The sequence below is a fragment of the Homo sapiens genome, chromosome 5 (genome assembly GCF_000001405.40).
Source record: "Homo sapiens chromosome 5, GRCh38.p14 Primary Assembly".
Lineage (NCBI taxonomy): Eukaryota > Metazoa > Chordata > Mammalia > Primates > Hominidae > Homo > Homo sapiens.
In genome coordinates this window covers 32,221,897-32,234,536 of record NC_000005.10, presented here as the reverse complement: position 1 = coordinate 32,234,536, position 12,640 = coordinate 32,221,897, and the positions used below count along the sequence as shown (strand labels likewise).

At 45.8% G+C, this 12,640-nt stretch overlaps 1 protein-coding gene and 1 pseudogene across 3 annotated transcripts in view, besides 4 other annotated features; one reads left to right on the top strand and one right to left on the bottom strand.

Moving 5' to 3' along the window:
* MTMR12 (myotubularin related protein 12) overlaps positions 1-7,530 on the top strand; it is an 85,933-nt gene extending 78,403 nt beyond the window's left edge. For 2 of the 3 annotated variants that reach the window (NM_001294344.2, NM_001294343.2), the window contains one exon: positions 4,190-7,530. In NM_001294344.2, coding sequence (NP_001281273.1) covers positions 4,190-4,759 — 570 coding nt within the window. In that variant the 3' untranslated portion in view covers positions 4,760-7,530. Of the gene's footprint in view, positions 1-602; positions 765-4,189 lie in introns of all 3 variants that reach the window. The other variant, NM_001040446.3, reaches the window with a different exon arrangement.
* Positions 488-959: an enhancer, noted in NCBI's record as "MTMR12 eExon fragment used in the reporter construct". NCBI's record gives its function as "activates a pGL4.23 vector minimal promoter by reporter assays in HepG2 cells and mouse liver" and the evidence as "EXISTENCE:reporter gene assay evidence [ECO:0000049][PMID:25340400]".
* Positions 1,813-2,357: an enhancer, noted in NCBI's record as "H3K4me1 hESC enhancer chr5:32232286-32232830 (GRCh37/hg19 assembly coordinates)". NCBI's record gives its function as "activates a minimal SCP1, AML or CMV promoter by ChIP-STARR-seq in primed H9 embryonic stem cells {active_cell/tissue: H9 hESC(primed)}" and the evidence as "EXISTENCE:reporter gene assay evidence [ECO:0000049][PMID:30033119]".
* Positions 2,358-2,903: an enhancer, noted in NCBI's record as "H3K4me1 hESC enhancer chr5:32231740-32232285 (GRCh37/hg19 assembly coordinates)". NCBI's record gives its function as "activates a minimal SCP1, AML or CMV promoter by ChIP-STARR-seq in primed H9 embryonic stem cells {active_cell/tissue: H9 hESC(primed)}" and the evidence as "EXISTENCE:reporter gene assay evidence [ECO:0000049][PMID:30033119]".
* Positions 10,240-10,534: a silencer, noted in NCBI's record as "tiled region #2864; K562 Repressive non-DNase unmatched - State 23:Low". NCBI's record gives its function as "represses a minimal TATA promoter and a strong SV40 promoter by Sharpr-MPRA in K562 cells {active_cell/tissue: K562}" and the evidence as "EXISTENCE:reporter gene assay evidence [ECO:0000049][PMID:27701403]".
* On the bottom strand, positions 12,151-12,640 carry RPL27P10 (ribosomal protein L27 pseudogene 10; annotated as a pseudogene).

Sequence of the window (12,640 nt, the reverse complement as noted above, 5' to 3'; positions counted from 1 at the left end):
GACAGTTAGACCAGATGTCCTCCGATTTTGCCTGATGCCTGGAACTCCTCTGTGAAGAGAATGGGGACCAGCAGATCAGGGAAGCTAGCCTTTTCCTTCCATCTTAACCCTTTTGGCCCTTCCTGGACTGTGCCCCCAATTAGATAATCTCAGTGCTTCTGAGCAGCCTCCTGAGGGCTACAGGCTTTGCTTGAGCTGGGAGGATTACCAAATCCCCCAGTGAAGTAGGAGCAACAGCCCTGCTTTCAGAGCTCAGCCTTGTGACTCACCAGCTTTGTGACCTTGGGCAGTTCAGTTTTCTGAGCCTTGGTTTCCTCAAATGTAAAATTGGAAAAACAACAGTTGCCTCGCGAGGCTGTGGAAGCACCCAGCACAGCGGCTGGCGTGTAGACTGCTGGAAAGGAAGTGTCCTTGTTCTTGCCCTCCTCCCACACCAAAAGCTTGTAGTGAATAACCACAGGTAGCCTCAGCCTTAAATGCCCATGATTATTCATTCTCAGGGCAGAGCAGGAGCATGCTTCCTGGTGCCTGTGTCCAGAAGTATGTGTTTGCCTTCCTCAGCCCTCCCTGGAAAACAGCATGACCTGTGCTTGTTTTGGCAGGGTAGAGAAGGCCAGGATACACAAAGCAAGCCTTTGAATCTGCTCACCGTGTGGGATTGGTCGGTGCAGTTTGAACCCAAAGCCCAGACATTGCTCAAAAACCCTCTTTATGTGGAAAAGCCAAAACTGGACAAAGGCCAACGGAAAGGAATGCGCTTCAAAGTAAGATGTCCACATGTCTAAACCCCCTTCAGCTGCCCAGACCCCGTGCATGTAATGATAAAAGGTACTTACGGATTCTGTCTGCCAGCATTTTCTACCCCTCGAAGCAGTCTGCAGAGTTGAGACTTGTGATGGTCAAATTGTCAAGGGCCATTAGAATCCTTTGCTTTCAGCAAATCACCTTTGCCCTGGTACAACAGGGCCATTTGCCAGATGTCACTGTGGATGCTGCCACCCTGGTCATACTCCATGGAATCGTGCCTCTTGTCCTGCCTGTGTGTGTGTGTGTGTGTGTGTGTTTGTGTGTGTGTGTGTGTTAGTAGAGTAAAAGGAACATTGATTGTGTGGGTTTTACTTGGCCGATACCAGTTCATTTATTATAATAAATAGTAAGACTTTTCTTAATGAGCTGTGCCTGTAAACCACAGGTTGCAAAACTCTGTCAAGGGCTGCAAAGTCTCTGTCACAACTACCCCTCTACTGTTGTAGTACAAAAGAAGCCTTAGTCTGCTCTGCCCTTGGAGTAGCCATTCTTTATTCCTTTACTTGAAAAAAAAAAAAGGAGCCTTAGTAGGTGAACAAGTAGGCATAGCTGTGTTCCAGTGTTTACGAGAACAGGCGCCAGGCCAGATTTGGCCGGAGGGGTGGCCAGTTTGCTGACCTATGCTATGAGCCACAAATGTCAGAAAGTCATTTTAGTTGATAATCCCAAAGTTCCCTAACTGATGAATTATTTAACTGACATTTCCTAGCTCTGTCTCCAGGCCCAGAATTTCTCCCCCACAGAGTCCACAAAGGAGAGAGCAGTGATGGTAAGTCTAAGTCGATGTGTGTCACTGCCTTCTCCATGCCATCCTTATCCTGCCTGATCTGGAGGGCTTCAGAAAGCCTGGCCCTTTCTGGTGTCAGAGTTGGTTCCATTCTAAAGAGGACTGGGGACCTGGGTGAGCCACGGCCAGCAGAGACGATGTTGGCTGCTGAACGACTCAGAATGGCCACTTTGCCCTTTTAGGGGCCGCAGGCCCAGGGTGGAGTTTCCCCTTTCTGGCTGAGCCTCTTCTGCCAGTTTAACCAGAATTGCCCTGAGCCCCAGAACAGCTTGGCCAGAAATTGGTTTTTCTTCAGTGTGTTGTGCCCCCTGGTGGCTGCATGCACATTCTCATGAGAGCTGGATTGGCACCAGAGAAACTGCCCTGTGCCAGAGTGGCAGGGGACCTCAGAGACAGCGAGGACAACGTCTGTTGTGTTACGGGAGGAACCTAAGGCTCCCCCTTCCAATAATGGATTTCATTTCTCTCCTCAGACCTAGCTTTTCTAATCATCTCTTTTCCTTGGGAGATAGGGACAGACAGCCTAAGCTCCAGGAGTTGGCAGGTGGGAAAGGACTGAGCTGAAGGGGTGGAGAATTTCAGGTTGCACTAGCTAAATCACAGTTGGGACGGGGGCGACAAGAAACCTTGAAGCCTTTGGGTAAGAAGACCAGATATCAGGTGGAGCAATGTGTTGAGCGGCCTGGTGGCCTGGGGGAAGTTCTGCAGAGACTCTGAGGAAGCAGGGGCTGAGCAGCATGTGGTGCTGCCGTGCAAATGCCACACGGTGGGGGGGACCCATTCCAGTGTGCAGCCTCGGTGTCAGCCGCAGGCCCGGGCCAGGCTTTGGCCTGCAGAGCTGCTGGCATGTCAGCTGGTCTTGAGTGCTCCCTTTGCTTAGGAGATAGAGAGAAGGGGGCTTCCAGGACCAAGGAGAGCTCAGTAGAGAGCCCAGGCTCTGGAGCCAGACTATTTGAACCACCTTTGGCACTGAGCAGCAGTGCCTTCGGCAGATTGCTTACCTCTGTGCCTTAGTTTCCTTGCTTGTAAAGTGGGGCAATAATAGTGACTTTGAGAATGAGGTGCTCAGTGAATGTGAGTACTGAGCACAGAACCGAGCAGGCAGGAAGCACTGGGTGGTGGTTCAGTGTAGTCCCTGCCCTGCCTGACACATCTTCACGATGGAGAAAAAGAGAGGCCACTGAATCCTGGCCTTCATCTTTCCTGACCCTGGATGGAAAGTCAAATCCTGGTCACCTCCGAGCTGTGGTCTTGTGGATGGTTTTGTTTTCTTTTTAATATTTTTATTGTTATTCCATATTTCATAATAAGGAAATAATTTTCTTTACAATAAAGAATATCTTTTTACAAGGAAGAACCATTGATGGAAATATGTTAGAGAGTTTTAGAGTGAACCTGAAAATTAAGTTGTTATCTCTTCTTACTTCAAATGAACAGTAGCAAAAGAGCTGGACAAACAGCTTCTCCCCACATGTTTTTACTTCTGCTTTGGGCACTGGGGAACCCTCATGACCTTCCGACCACATCCATCTTTTACAACCCTTTTTTTTTTTTTTTTTTTGCGAGCCAGAGTTTTGCTGTCATTGCCCAGGCTGGAGTGCAACGGCGTGATCTCGGCTCACTGCAGCCTCTGCCTCCTGGGTTCAAGCAATTCTCCTCCCTCAGCCTCGGGTGCCCACCACCACACCCTGCTAATTTTTTCTATTTTTAGTGGAGATGGGGTTTTGCCATTTTGGCCAGGTTGAGGTTGGTCTTGAACTCCTGGCCTCAGGTGATCTGCCCGCCTCGGTCTCCCAAAGTGCTAGGATTACAGGCATGAGCTACTGCGCCCAGCCTCAAAACCCTTTCTCAGTGCACCCCCAAATATAATACTCTGCTCTGGCCACAGAGAGAATGACCAAGGGGGGAAATATGAAAATGTGAAAATGCTCTCCCATTTTCTACTCCATGCAGGTTGCCAGACAAGTCTGGTCAGCTTAGCTGGCTCATCACATTTCTTTGCTCTCACCTGCCTGTTTTCTGTATCTAAAAGAATCTTTATGACTTCGGCTTAAACTCCCACTGGATGCCTGATAAGCTGCTATTTCACCCATGTGATAGTATCTTCTGGTAGTTAGCAGTGCCTCCTTGCAGTTGTTCAGAAGATTGTAGTGGTTAACAGCCTTAAAGTTCTCAAAGAAGAAACATCTTTTTCCCTTTAGAACATGAATGGGCCTGACCCACAAGTTCCCCTAAATCATTAAACTATCTTAAGTTAAACAGCTTTTTCAGAAGTGCTTTGTGTCCTGTGGTGCCCCTGTGACAGAGGAGGAGGGCACCAAAAGCTCCTTTCTCTGTGTCCCAGCATGCCTTTCTGCACAGCTGCCACGTGCACCTGCTTCCCCATTTGTTTCTGGTACAGTGTGCACCATGGCAATACACAGGAATACCCCACCTCTGGATGTCACAGCGTGTTAATGAGTGTGCATTCACATGGCAACACTGATGTCTCTTGGAACTTGTTAAAGCAGGGTTATGCTCTTTTTGTTATGGTAACAGCTGTTAACTGTGCCTGTTATGTTAACCAGTGATTTTTATTTGTGTTTTCTCTCAAAGCATCAACGACAACTTTCTTTGCCACTTACACAATCTAAGTCATCTCCCAAAAGAGGATTTTTCAGGGAAGAAACAGATCATTTAATTAAAAACCTTCTGGGCAAGAGAATTAGCAAACTTATTAATTCTTCTGATGAGCTCCAAGACAACTTTCGAGAGTTCTATGACAGCTGGCATAGCAAGTCCACTGACTACCATGGTTTGTTGTTACCGCATATCGAGGGGCCCGAAATCAAAGTCTGGGCCCAGCGCTACCTACGTTGGATTCCAGAAGCCCAAATCCTAGGTGGTGGCCAAGTGGCCACTCTGAGCAAACTCTTGGAAATGATGGAGGAAGTCCAGAGTTTACAAGAGAAGATCGACGAGAGACACCACAGCCAGCAGGCCCCCCAGGCTGAGGCCCCCTGCCTGCTGAGGAACTCTGCCCGCCTCTCGTCTTTGTTTCCTTTCGCTCTGCTCCAGCGACATTCCTCTAAGCCCGTCTTACCCACCAGTGGCTGGAAAGCTTTGGGAGATGAAGACGATTTGGCCAAACGAGAAGATGAGTTCGTGGACCTAGGGGATGTGTGACCTGTTTGTTGAGTGATTGTGAAAGAGGAATGTGGGAGATTGGGACAGCTGATCCCTGGATTTGTGTCACGCTACAGCTCATGCTGGCTGGGTCCTTAGCCCGGCACTCCGTTAGAATAAACCTGGGCCTTCGGGAAAAGAGGTGGCTCTCATTATTTTTCATGATTCTAAAAGACTATGCAATTAAAACCGCATCTGTAGTATTACTAATTGGAAGGAATTATTACTTGACCCGTAATAGGGTTGTGGCCGTTTTCTGATGCCTAAGTATTATACAGAGCCCACAATGGCCAGTTTACTACCAGAAAGGGCTTCAGTAAGATATTCTTGGACTTGATACTTTCTTCAGATCCTCTTTGTGCCAAGATAATTTATCCAGTCATTGGGAATAGTAAGTTTCTGTGTAACCCATCTCAATTATAGAAGCAAGTTCAGCTTTATGTATTTGTATGGGGAGTTGAAGATTCAGATAGAGGTATTAAGATGTGTGGCATTTACTTAAACCATCACATTTTTTTCTTTCTACGCCCCCTTGCCTGTAAAACACCTGGGAAGTTCCACTGGTGTCATCCATCCTGATGCTTCAGACCACCCTCCCTTCTTCACAGACCGTGTCACTTTGCCTGTGGGTGGGGGCTAGCCAGCCACCACCCTCTTTTCTGTGCTGCCAGCCCCAGGTCTTCCTCCGCCTGCTCCACACCACTCGCCGCTGTCCCTCTGCACTCCCTGCCTTGGTGCGTGTAGTCCCAGTGTCTCACTGCCAAACCTCTTGGTTACGCTGCGGGGATCTGTTTCTTTGCCTGAGATCCTTCCTGAGGAGCGTCCATTCCTCTGGAGTCTCTCCTTGTTTGGAACAAATCGCTTCGCCTTTTTCTACTTGCCTGCTGAAGCTTTGGAGCACTTGTGATTGCAGTTTTCTGCCGCAACCCCTGAGCCGAGTTCCTCACATTCTTTTACCTTTATGGACTGATGGGATTGGGTCACTTTTGAATGTGGCTTTCATAGGAAAGCAGCTTAAACATAAATATCAGAAGTGATGATTATCATATGATACCTCAGTGATTTTAAAAGCCATAGAAGAAACTTGACTATGCCTGGTCACCTTCTTGGATCTGCTGTCTAAATGATATATATATGATATATATGTGATATATATATATCATATATATGATATATATATATATATCACATATATATGATATATATATGATATATATATATCACATATATATGATATATATATCATATATATGATATATATTTTTTTTAATGCAGGAAAGTATACTTTGTAAGGAGCAGATTTTTTTGTTCTCAGTGGAACCCTGTCAAATCGCATAAAAGAGGAAAAAAACAAAACTCATTAGAATGTTTTAAATTGAATGTTCGCCTTTTACATATATTTGCTCTTCAGTATGGATCCCAATTTGAATGTTACATGTTCGGAAAAACTTTCAGTTGCTCAAGGGCAATAAGAAAATTTGAGGCCGGGTGTGGTGGCTCACGCCTGTAATCCCAGCACTTTGGGAGGCTCAGGTGGGCGAATTGCTTGAGCCCAGGAGTTCGAGACCAGCCGGGGCAACATGGCAAAACCCTGTCTCTACTAAAAATACAAAAATTAGCTGGGTGTGGTGGTGCATGCCTGTAGTCCCAGCTACTCGGGAGGCTGAGGTGGGAGGATCCCGTGAGCCTGGGAGGTGGAGTTTGCAGTGAGCTAAGATCGTGCCACTGCACTCCGGCCTGGGTGATGGAGCAAGACCTCGTCTCAGAAAATTGGAAACTATTGACTAAGAGAAGTTTCTAGGTTTGCACTGAATTGTCTTTTGTACATACAGTGAATTGTTTTGCTGTTCTCCCCACTCCATATTAATGCAGGAGCCAGGTTGGTCTGTTAGGATGAACAAAGGTTGAGGGGAGGGCAGGATTCGTGCATCTGGGGGCCAAACACATGTTCCGTCTTGATTGCCTTAAGAGTTACTAGCGAGGTCAGTGTTAGGCTTGCAATAGGGATTTTAAAATACACTAACTAGTTCCTTAGCTACCTTCACATACATTCTATAGGCCTTCTTAAATTAGCACTAACCTCCACTTCCTTCTCTGCCCCATTGCCTCCCAAATATGCTATGGAGCTATTTTTGTTACCACGTTATAACGTGAATATTTATACAGTAGCCTCTTCAGGCTTTGTAATTTTCATTCCAAAAATGCCCGGTGTGATGCTTTACACTCTACAAAGTATGGTTTAAAGGCACAAGGTCATGGCCTTTGTCATAGCAGTTGAATGTGCATTGACATATTTTTCTATGATTTTTTAAAATTACAATAGAAAAATAAGCTGTTGTAACGTGTAAGGTCATGACAATTTTTGTATTTATATTTGAAATCAGATTTCTATAACTCGTATTTGTGTACAGAATTCTCAATGGATTTATATATTGTGAAATTTTTATCTGAGATTGGGATGTGGATTATGCTTAACAGTGAGAGCTGAAATGAGACCATTTACTTTGTTTAAAATGCTGTACTGTGCAAGTTTGGAAATGTAAATTAATTTACTGTATATAATATCTTGAGTTTGTTTATACCTCCAAGTTTTTACACTGAAGATAAACTAGCTTTAATTCAAAACTTTTTTTTTCTTTATAAGGGAATAAGCTGTTGAGCTAAACCTGTATACTTGTGCTTTTTATTTTCTGGATGCACAATGAAAGTTTATACTTGTATCTCACTGCATCATATCTGATTGCAGAAATTAAAGCACAATTTACAAGCAATACTGTACTTGGTGTGGTTGGTATAACACATGGAGTAATCCGTTTCATTCTTTCAGGAAATATTGAGCATGTACTGGGTACTTGGCAGGGCCAGTGGGGACAGCAGGGAAGAGTGCAGTTTGCGTTCTTGTGGGGCACAGGGAGGTTTGGTGGTGGGAACCGATAACCAAACAAATATTTATAATAGGTGATTTGCAGTTACATGTATATCACAGCACTATTCACAATAGCAAAGACATGGAATCAACCCAGGTGCCCATCAGTGATGGATTGGATCAGGAAAATGTGGTACATATACACCATGGGATACTATACAGCTATAAAAAAGAATGGAATCACGTCCTTTGCGGCAACATGGATGCAGCTGGAGTCCATTATCCTAAGTGAATTAATGCAGAAACAGAAAACCAAATACTGAATGTTCTCATAAGTGGGAGCTAAACATTGGGTATTGGACGTAAAGATAAGAACAACAGACACGGGACTCAAAATGGGGAGGGAGTCAGGGAAGGGTTGAAAAACCACCTATTGGGTACTGTGTTCACCATTTGAGTGATGGGTTCAATTGAAGCCCAAACTTCAGCATCACGCAATATACCCATGTAATAAACCTGCACATGTACCCTCTGAATCTAAGGTAAAAATAATAAAAAATCTAGCTGACACTGTGGCTCACGCCTGTAATACCAGCACTTTGGGAGGCCGAGGCGGGCGGATCACCTGAAGTGTCGGGAGTTCAAGACCAGCCTGGCAACGTGGTGAAACCCTGTCTCTACTAAAAATACAAAATTAGCTGGGTGTGGTGGCGCATGCCTGTGATCCCAGCTACTTGGGAGGATGAGGCAGGAGAATCGCTTGAACCTGAGAGGTGGAGGTTGCAGTGAGCCAAGATAGCACCACGGCACTCCAGCCTGGGCAACAGAGGAGGGCTCTGTCTGAAAAGAAAAAAAAATCCCAGGTGATGATAAAATGCTGAAGAAAAAATAGGGTGGGGATAGGGTGATTAAAAGAAAAGAGTTTTTAACCCTGAAATTAAATATTATTACCTCTCTGCTTTTTGTGGGGATCTGTAAAATTAGAATTCTGTTACTCTGGAATAAAAATTGCTGGAAGAGATCTGAGTACATTTAAACCATGAAAGATAGAAAAAGGCTTTGTTTTTGCTTTCAGAGAGGTTAAGTGAGCGAGCACAGGGTAAGATGGCTTATGAGAGTAGGATTTGTTTCTAATTCGTTTTAATACTTAACTAGATTGAGACATAGCACTTTGTATGTTCTGAGAAACAAGGCTCATATTTCTTTGACCTTTCCTACCTACAGAGGAGGCTTCCCACTCTGCTGCTTGTCCCCATCCCCCTTTCCTATCTGGCCAGCACACTATGTCCAGAAAGCTAGCTCTGAGACACCCCTGGAATTTAATAAGCTCTCATGGATGCCACGTGCTTTTCAGATGTTTTGCTTCTTTGGTGTTTGTATTAAATTCCCAAGTAGTAGTTGTGACCGTAGAGTTTAGCAGCTTCTCGTCTTATTTTCCACATTTGTTTAGCTCTTGTACTTTTGGTGGACTTAGCTGTCTCTCACTCTTGATTTTGCTTGTTCCTTGATGTCCAGGTGAGGGCATGGAGGGACTTGGGGAGTAAAGAGTGGAATGTTCTCCGTCCAGTGTGAAACAGGGTGGGGGGTCGGCTCCTGTTGGGAACTAGCCCCTGTGCCTTCACGTCCCCTATCATTAAGGGAGTTGGAGGCAGAGGGGGGCCTGTCTATAGCCTGTTTTCTGGCCAGGCGCAGTGGCTCACACCTGTAATCCAGCACTTTGGGAGGCTGATCACAAGGTCAGGAGATCAAGACCATCCTGGCTAACATGGTGAAACCCCGTCTCTACTAAAAATACAAAAAAATTAGCCATGCGTGGTGGTGGGCGCCTGAAATCCCAGCTACTTGGGAGGCTGAGGCAAGAGAATAGCATGAACCTGGGAGGCGGAGCTTGCAGTGAGCAGAGATCACACCACTGCACTCGAGCCTGGGCGACAGAGCGACTCTGTCTCAAAATAAATAAATAAATGAATAAAGCAAGCCTGTTTTCTGAGCCCTTCCTGTGGTCGTGTGCTGGGCTTGTGTCCCACTGTGGCTCTAGATTATTTATAAATGTGTCCCTGGGGCAGGACAATTTGGGGCTGAGCACGCAGGATGCCCCTGCCCTGCTGCAGAGACAAGAGCTATAGAGATGCATGGCCTTATTGGGTCCACCTTCCACACACACATACAACACCCTGAAAAGTACTAGCATGAGGGTGGGAGAGGCAAGACCCTGTTTGTACCGTGGGTTCCAGTGTAACCAGGGATGTGTCCAAGTGCCTACACTTGAGTTTGTTGATAACCAGGCTAGCTGTGGGTAGTGCAAAATCAGTGTTTTAAATATCATGTGTTGAAAAGTAATTTGAGTGGCTTTATGTCTGAAAACAGACATCTCAGCCTGTTTTGTGGTTCAGACCCAGGTTCTTTTCTTTTTAAATCCCCTATTACACTGTCTGCCCTTAGCAATTAAAGGATATAAAGTGTGTTACTATATGAAAATATGCACAGTAAGCTTTTTTCAATATATAATCTGTAGGTTCACACACAGTAAGCTTTTTGGACTTGTTTTTTAAAAACTTCCATTTTGCTAGCCAGTTTCATAAAGGGCTGTCTGGACCTGAATGTTTTTATGAAATCCTGAATGGAGGACTTTTCAAATTGTCTTCGCAGAAGTCTGGGGCCCAGTGAATGTTGTGCTTACTCATCCCCAGCACTGAAAGGGCACAAGTGCATGCCATTCCTGGGAAGGAAAAGAATGCAGATGGATGGCATTTCATCCCTGGACTGACCCTGAGGACTCTGCTTGGAATGCTACTGCAGTAGCCTCCAGGAGAGGATGGAAAAGACCTCTCCTCTCTCCCCAGCTGATGGGGGTGGGGTGGGGGGAAGCAGTAGAGATTGGTGGGGGTGGGGCAGGGGTGGACTGGGAAGGTGCACAAGGGAATGTTCTGGAGTGATGGTAGATGGTAGCATTGTATATCTTTTTTTTTTTTTTTTTTTTTTTGAGACAGAGTCTTGCTCTGTCGCCCAGGCTGGAGTGCAGTGGCACGATCTTGGCTCACTGCAACCTCTGCCTCCCGGGTTCAAGCAATTCTCCCACCTCAGCCTCCCAACTAACTGGGATTACAGGCGCCCACCACCAGGCCCGGCTAATTTTTTTTTTTTTTTGGTATTTTTAGTAGAGACGGGGTTTCACCGTGTTAGCCAGGATGGTCTCGATCTCCTGACCTCGTGATCCGCCCACCTCGGCCTCCCAAAGTGCTGGGATTACAGGCGTGAGCCACCGCGCCTGGCCAAAAAAAAAAAAAAATTTTTTTTTTTTGAGACAGGATCTCATTCTGTTGCCAAGGCTGGTGTGCAGTGGCGTGACCACAGCTCACTACAGCCTTGACTTCCATTTTGTAGAAATGGAATCTCACTATGTTGCCCAGGCCGGTCTTGAACTTCTGAGCTTGAGTGATCCTCCTGCCTTGTCCTCCAAGAGTGGTGGGTTTGGAGGTATGAGCCACCGTGCCTGGTTCTGGCTCTCTGAAGCCAGACTGCCTGAGTCTGAATCCCTGCTTTGCAGCTTACAAACTAGGATAACATCCCTCCATCTCTGTTTCCTCATCAGTAAAATGGCACCATGCCCAGAACCCACCTCACTGGAGAGTTGGAGGTTTAAGGATAAGTGTCTATTATAATGTAAATATTCAATACATGGAGCTATTATTATCTATGTGTGTGGTCATTTACATACATCATGTAAACAGAGGGATGTGTGTGTGTGTGTGCGTGTGTGTGTGTGTGTTTAAACTTAATCTGCACCCCAGGAACAATTAACATTTGAAGTATCCTAAACAGGAACCCAGGTTCCAAAGGTGGCTACATAAGCACTTCAAATGTTTTCAAAATCTATCCCAGAAGGTTTGTTGAACAGCACATGGAATGTTAAAAATCATCTTTCAAAGGTGCAATGAGTGGGTACTTGAGGTATGTGGTTGGCTAGAAATGTCAAAGAGGCCTCACTTTCACACCTAGAGGATATACAAATCCATCAGGCCCAGCAGTATAAACACATCAGAGCAGAGAACGAGGCCTAAAAACCCTCCACATCACCAGACGGACTGCAGGGTTAGCTGGTCCTGCTGTCTCGTAGCATCTTTTTGTTTTTGTTTTGAAACAGGGTCTTACTCTGTCACCCAGGCTGGAGTGCAGTGGCACAGTCATGGCTCACTGCAACCTCCGCCTCCCAGGCTCAAGTGATCCTCCCACCTCAGCCTCCCTGGTGGCTGGGACTACAGGGGCGTGCTACTGTGCCCGGCTAATTTTTGTATTTTTAGTAGAGACAGGGTTTTGCCATATTGCCCAGGCTGGTCTGTAACTCCTGGGCTCAAGTGATCCACCTGCCTCAGCCTTCCAAAGTGCTAGGATTACAGGTGTGAGCCACCACGCCCAGCCTGTATCTAACTTAAGAGTAAAACTTTCATGCAAGGTATTGTGTGGAGGCCTGAGGACACAGAGTGGGAATCCTCCACAAAGTCTAAGAACAGGAAATACGACTATTTTTTTTTCTTTTGAATTTTTAATGACCAAAACAAAGCATCTAAAACCGCAGCTTCTGGAAGAACCACTTGTTCTTGCCTGTCTTATATCTCTCTTCAAACTTGACCTTGGCTTCTCGTGGGGCCTTGCGTTTAAGAGCAGGGTCTCTAAAGACATCCTTATTGATGACAGTTTTGTCTAAGGGAATAAGATACCCACAGAATACCTTGTGGCCATTAGGTGATTGTAGTTATAAACTTTCACAAAAGACTTGATCTTTGACCTCTTGGAGATCTTCTTCTTGCCCATGGCAGCTGTCACTTTGAGGGGATAGCGGTCAATTCCAGCCACCAGAGCATGGCTGAAGGGGCTATCTGAGGTGCCATCATCATTGTTCTTCACAATGATGGCTTTGCGTCCAGCGTAGCCTCCAGCCAGGACAAGCACCACCTTCCCAGGTTTCATGAATTTGCCCATTTTGGCAGCAATCACTCGGGCCTACAGCAAAAAGG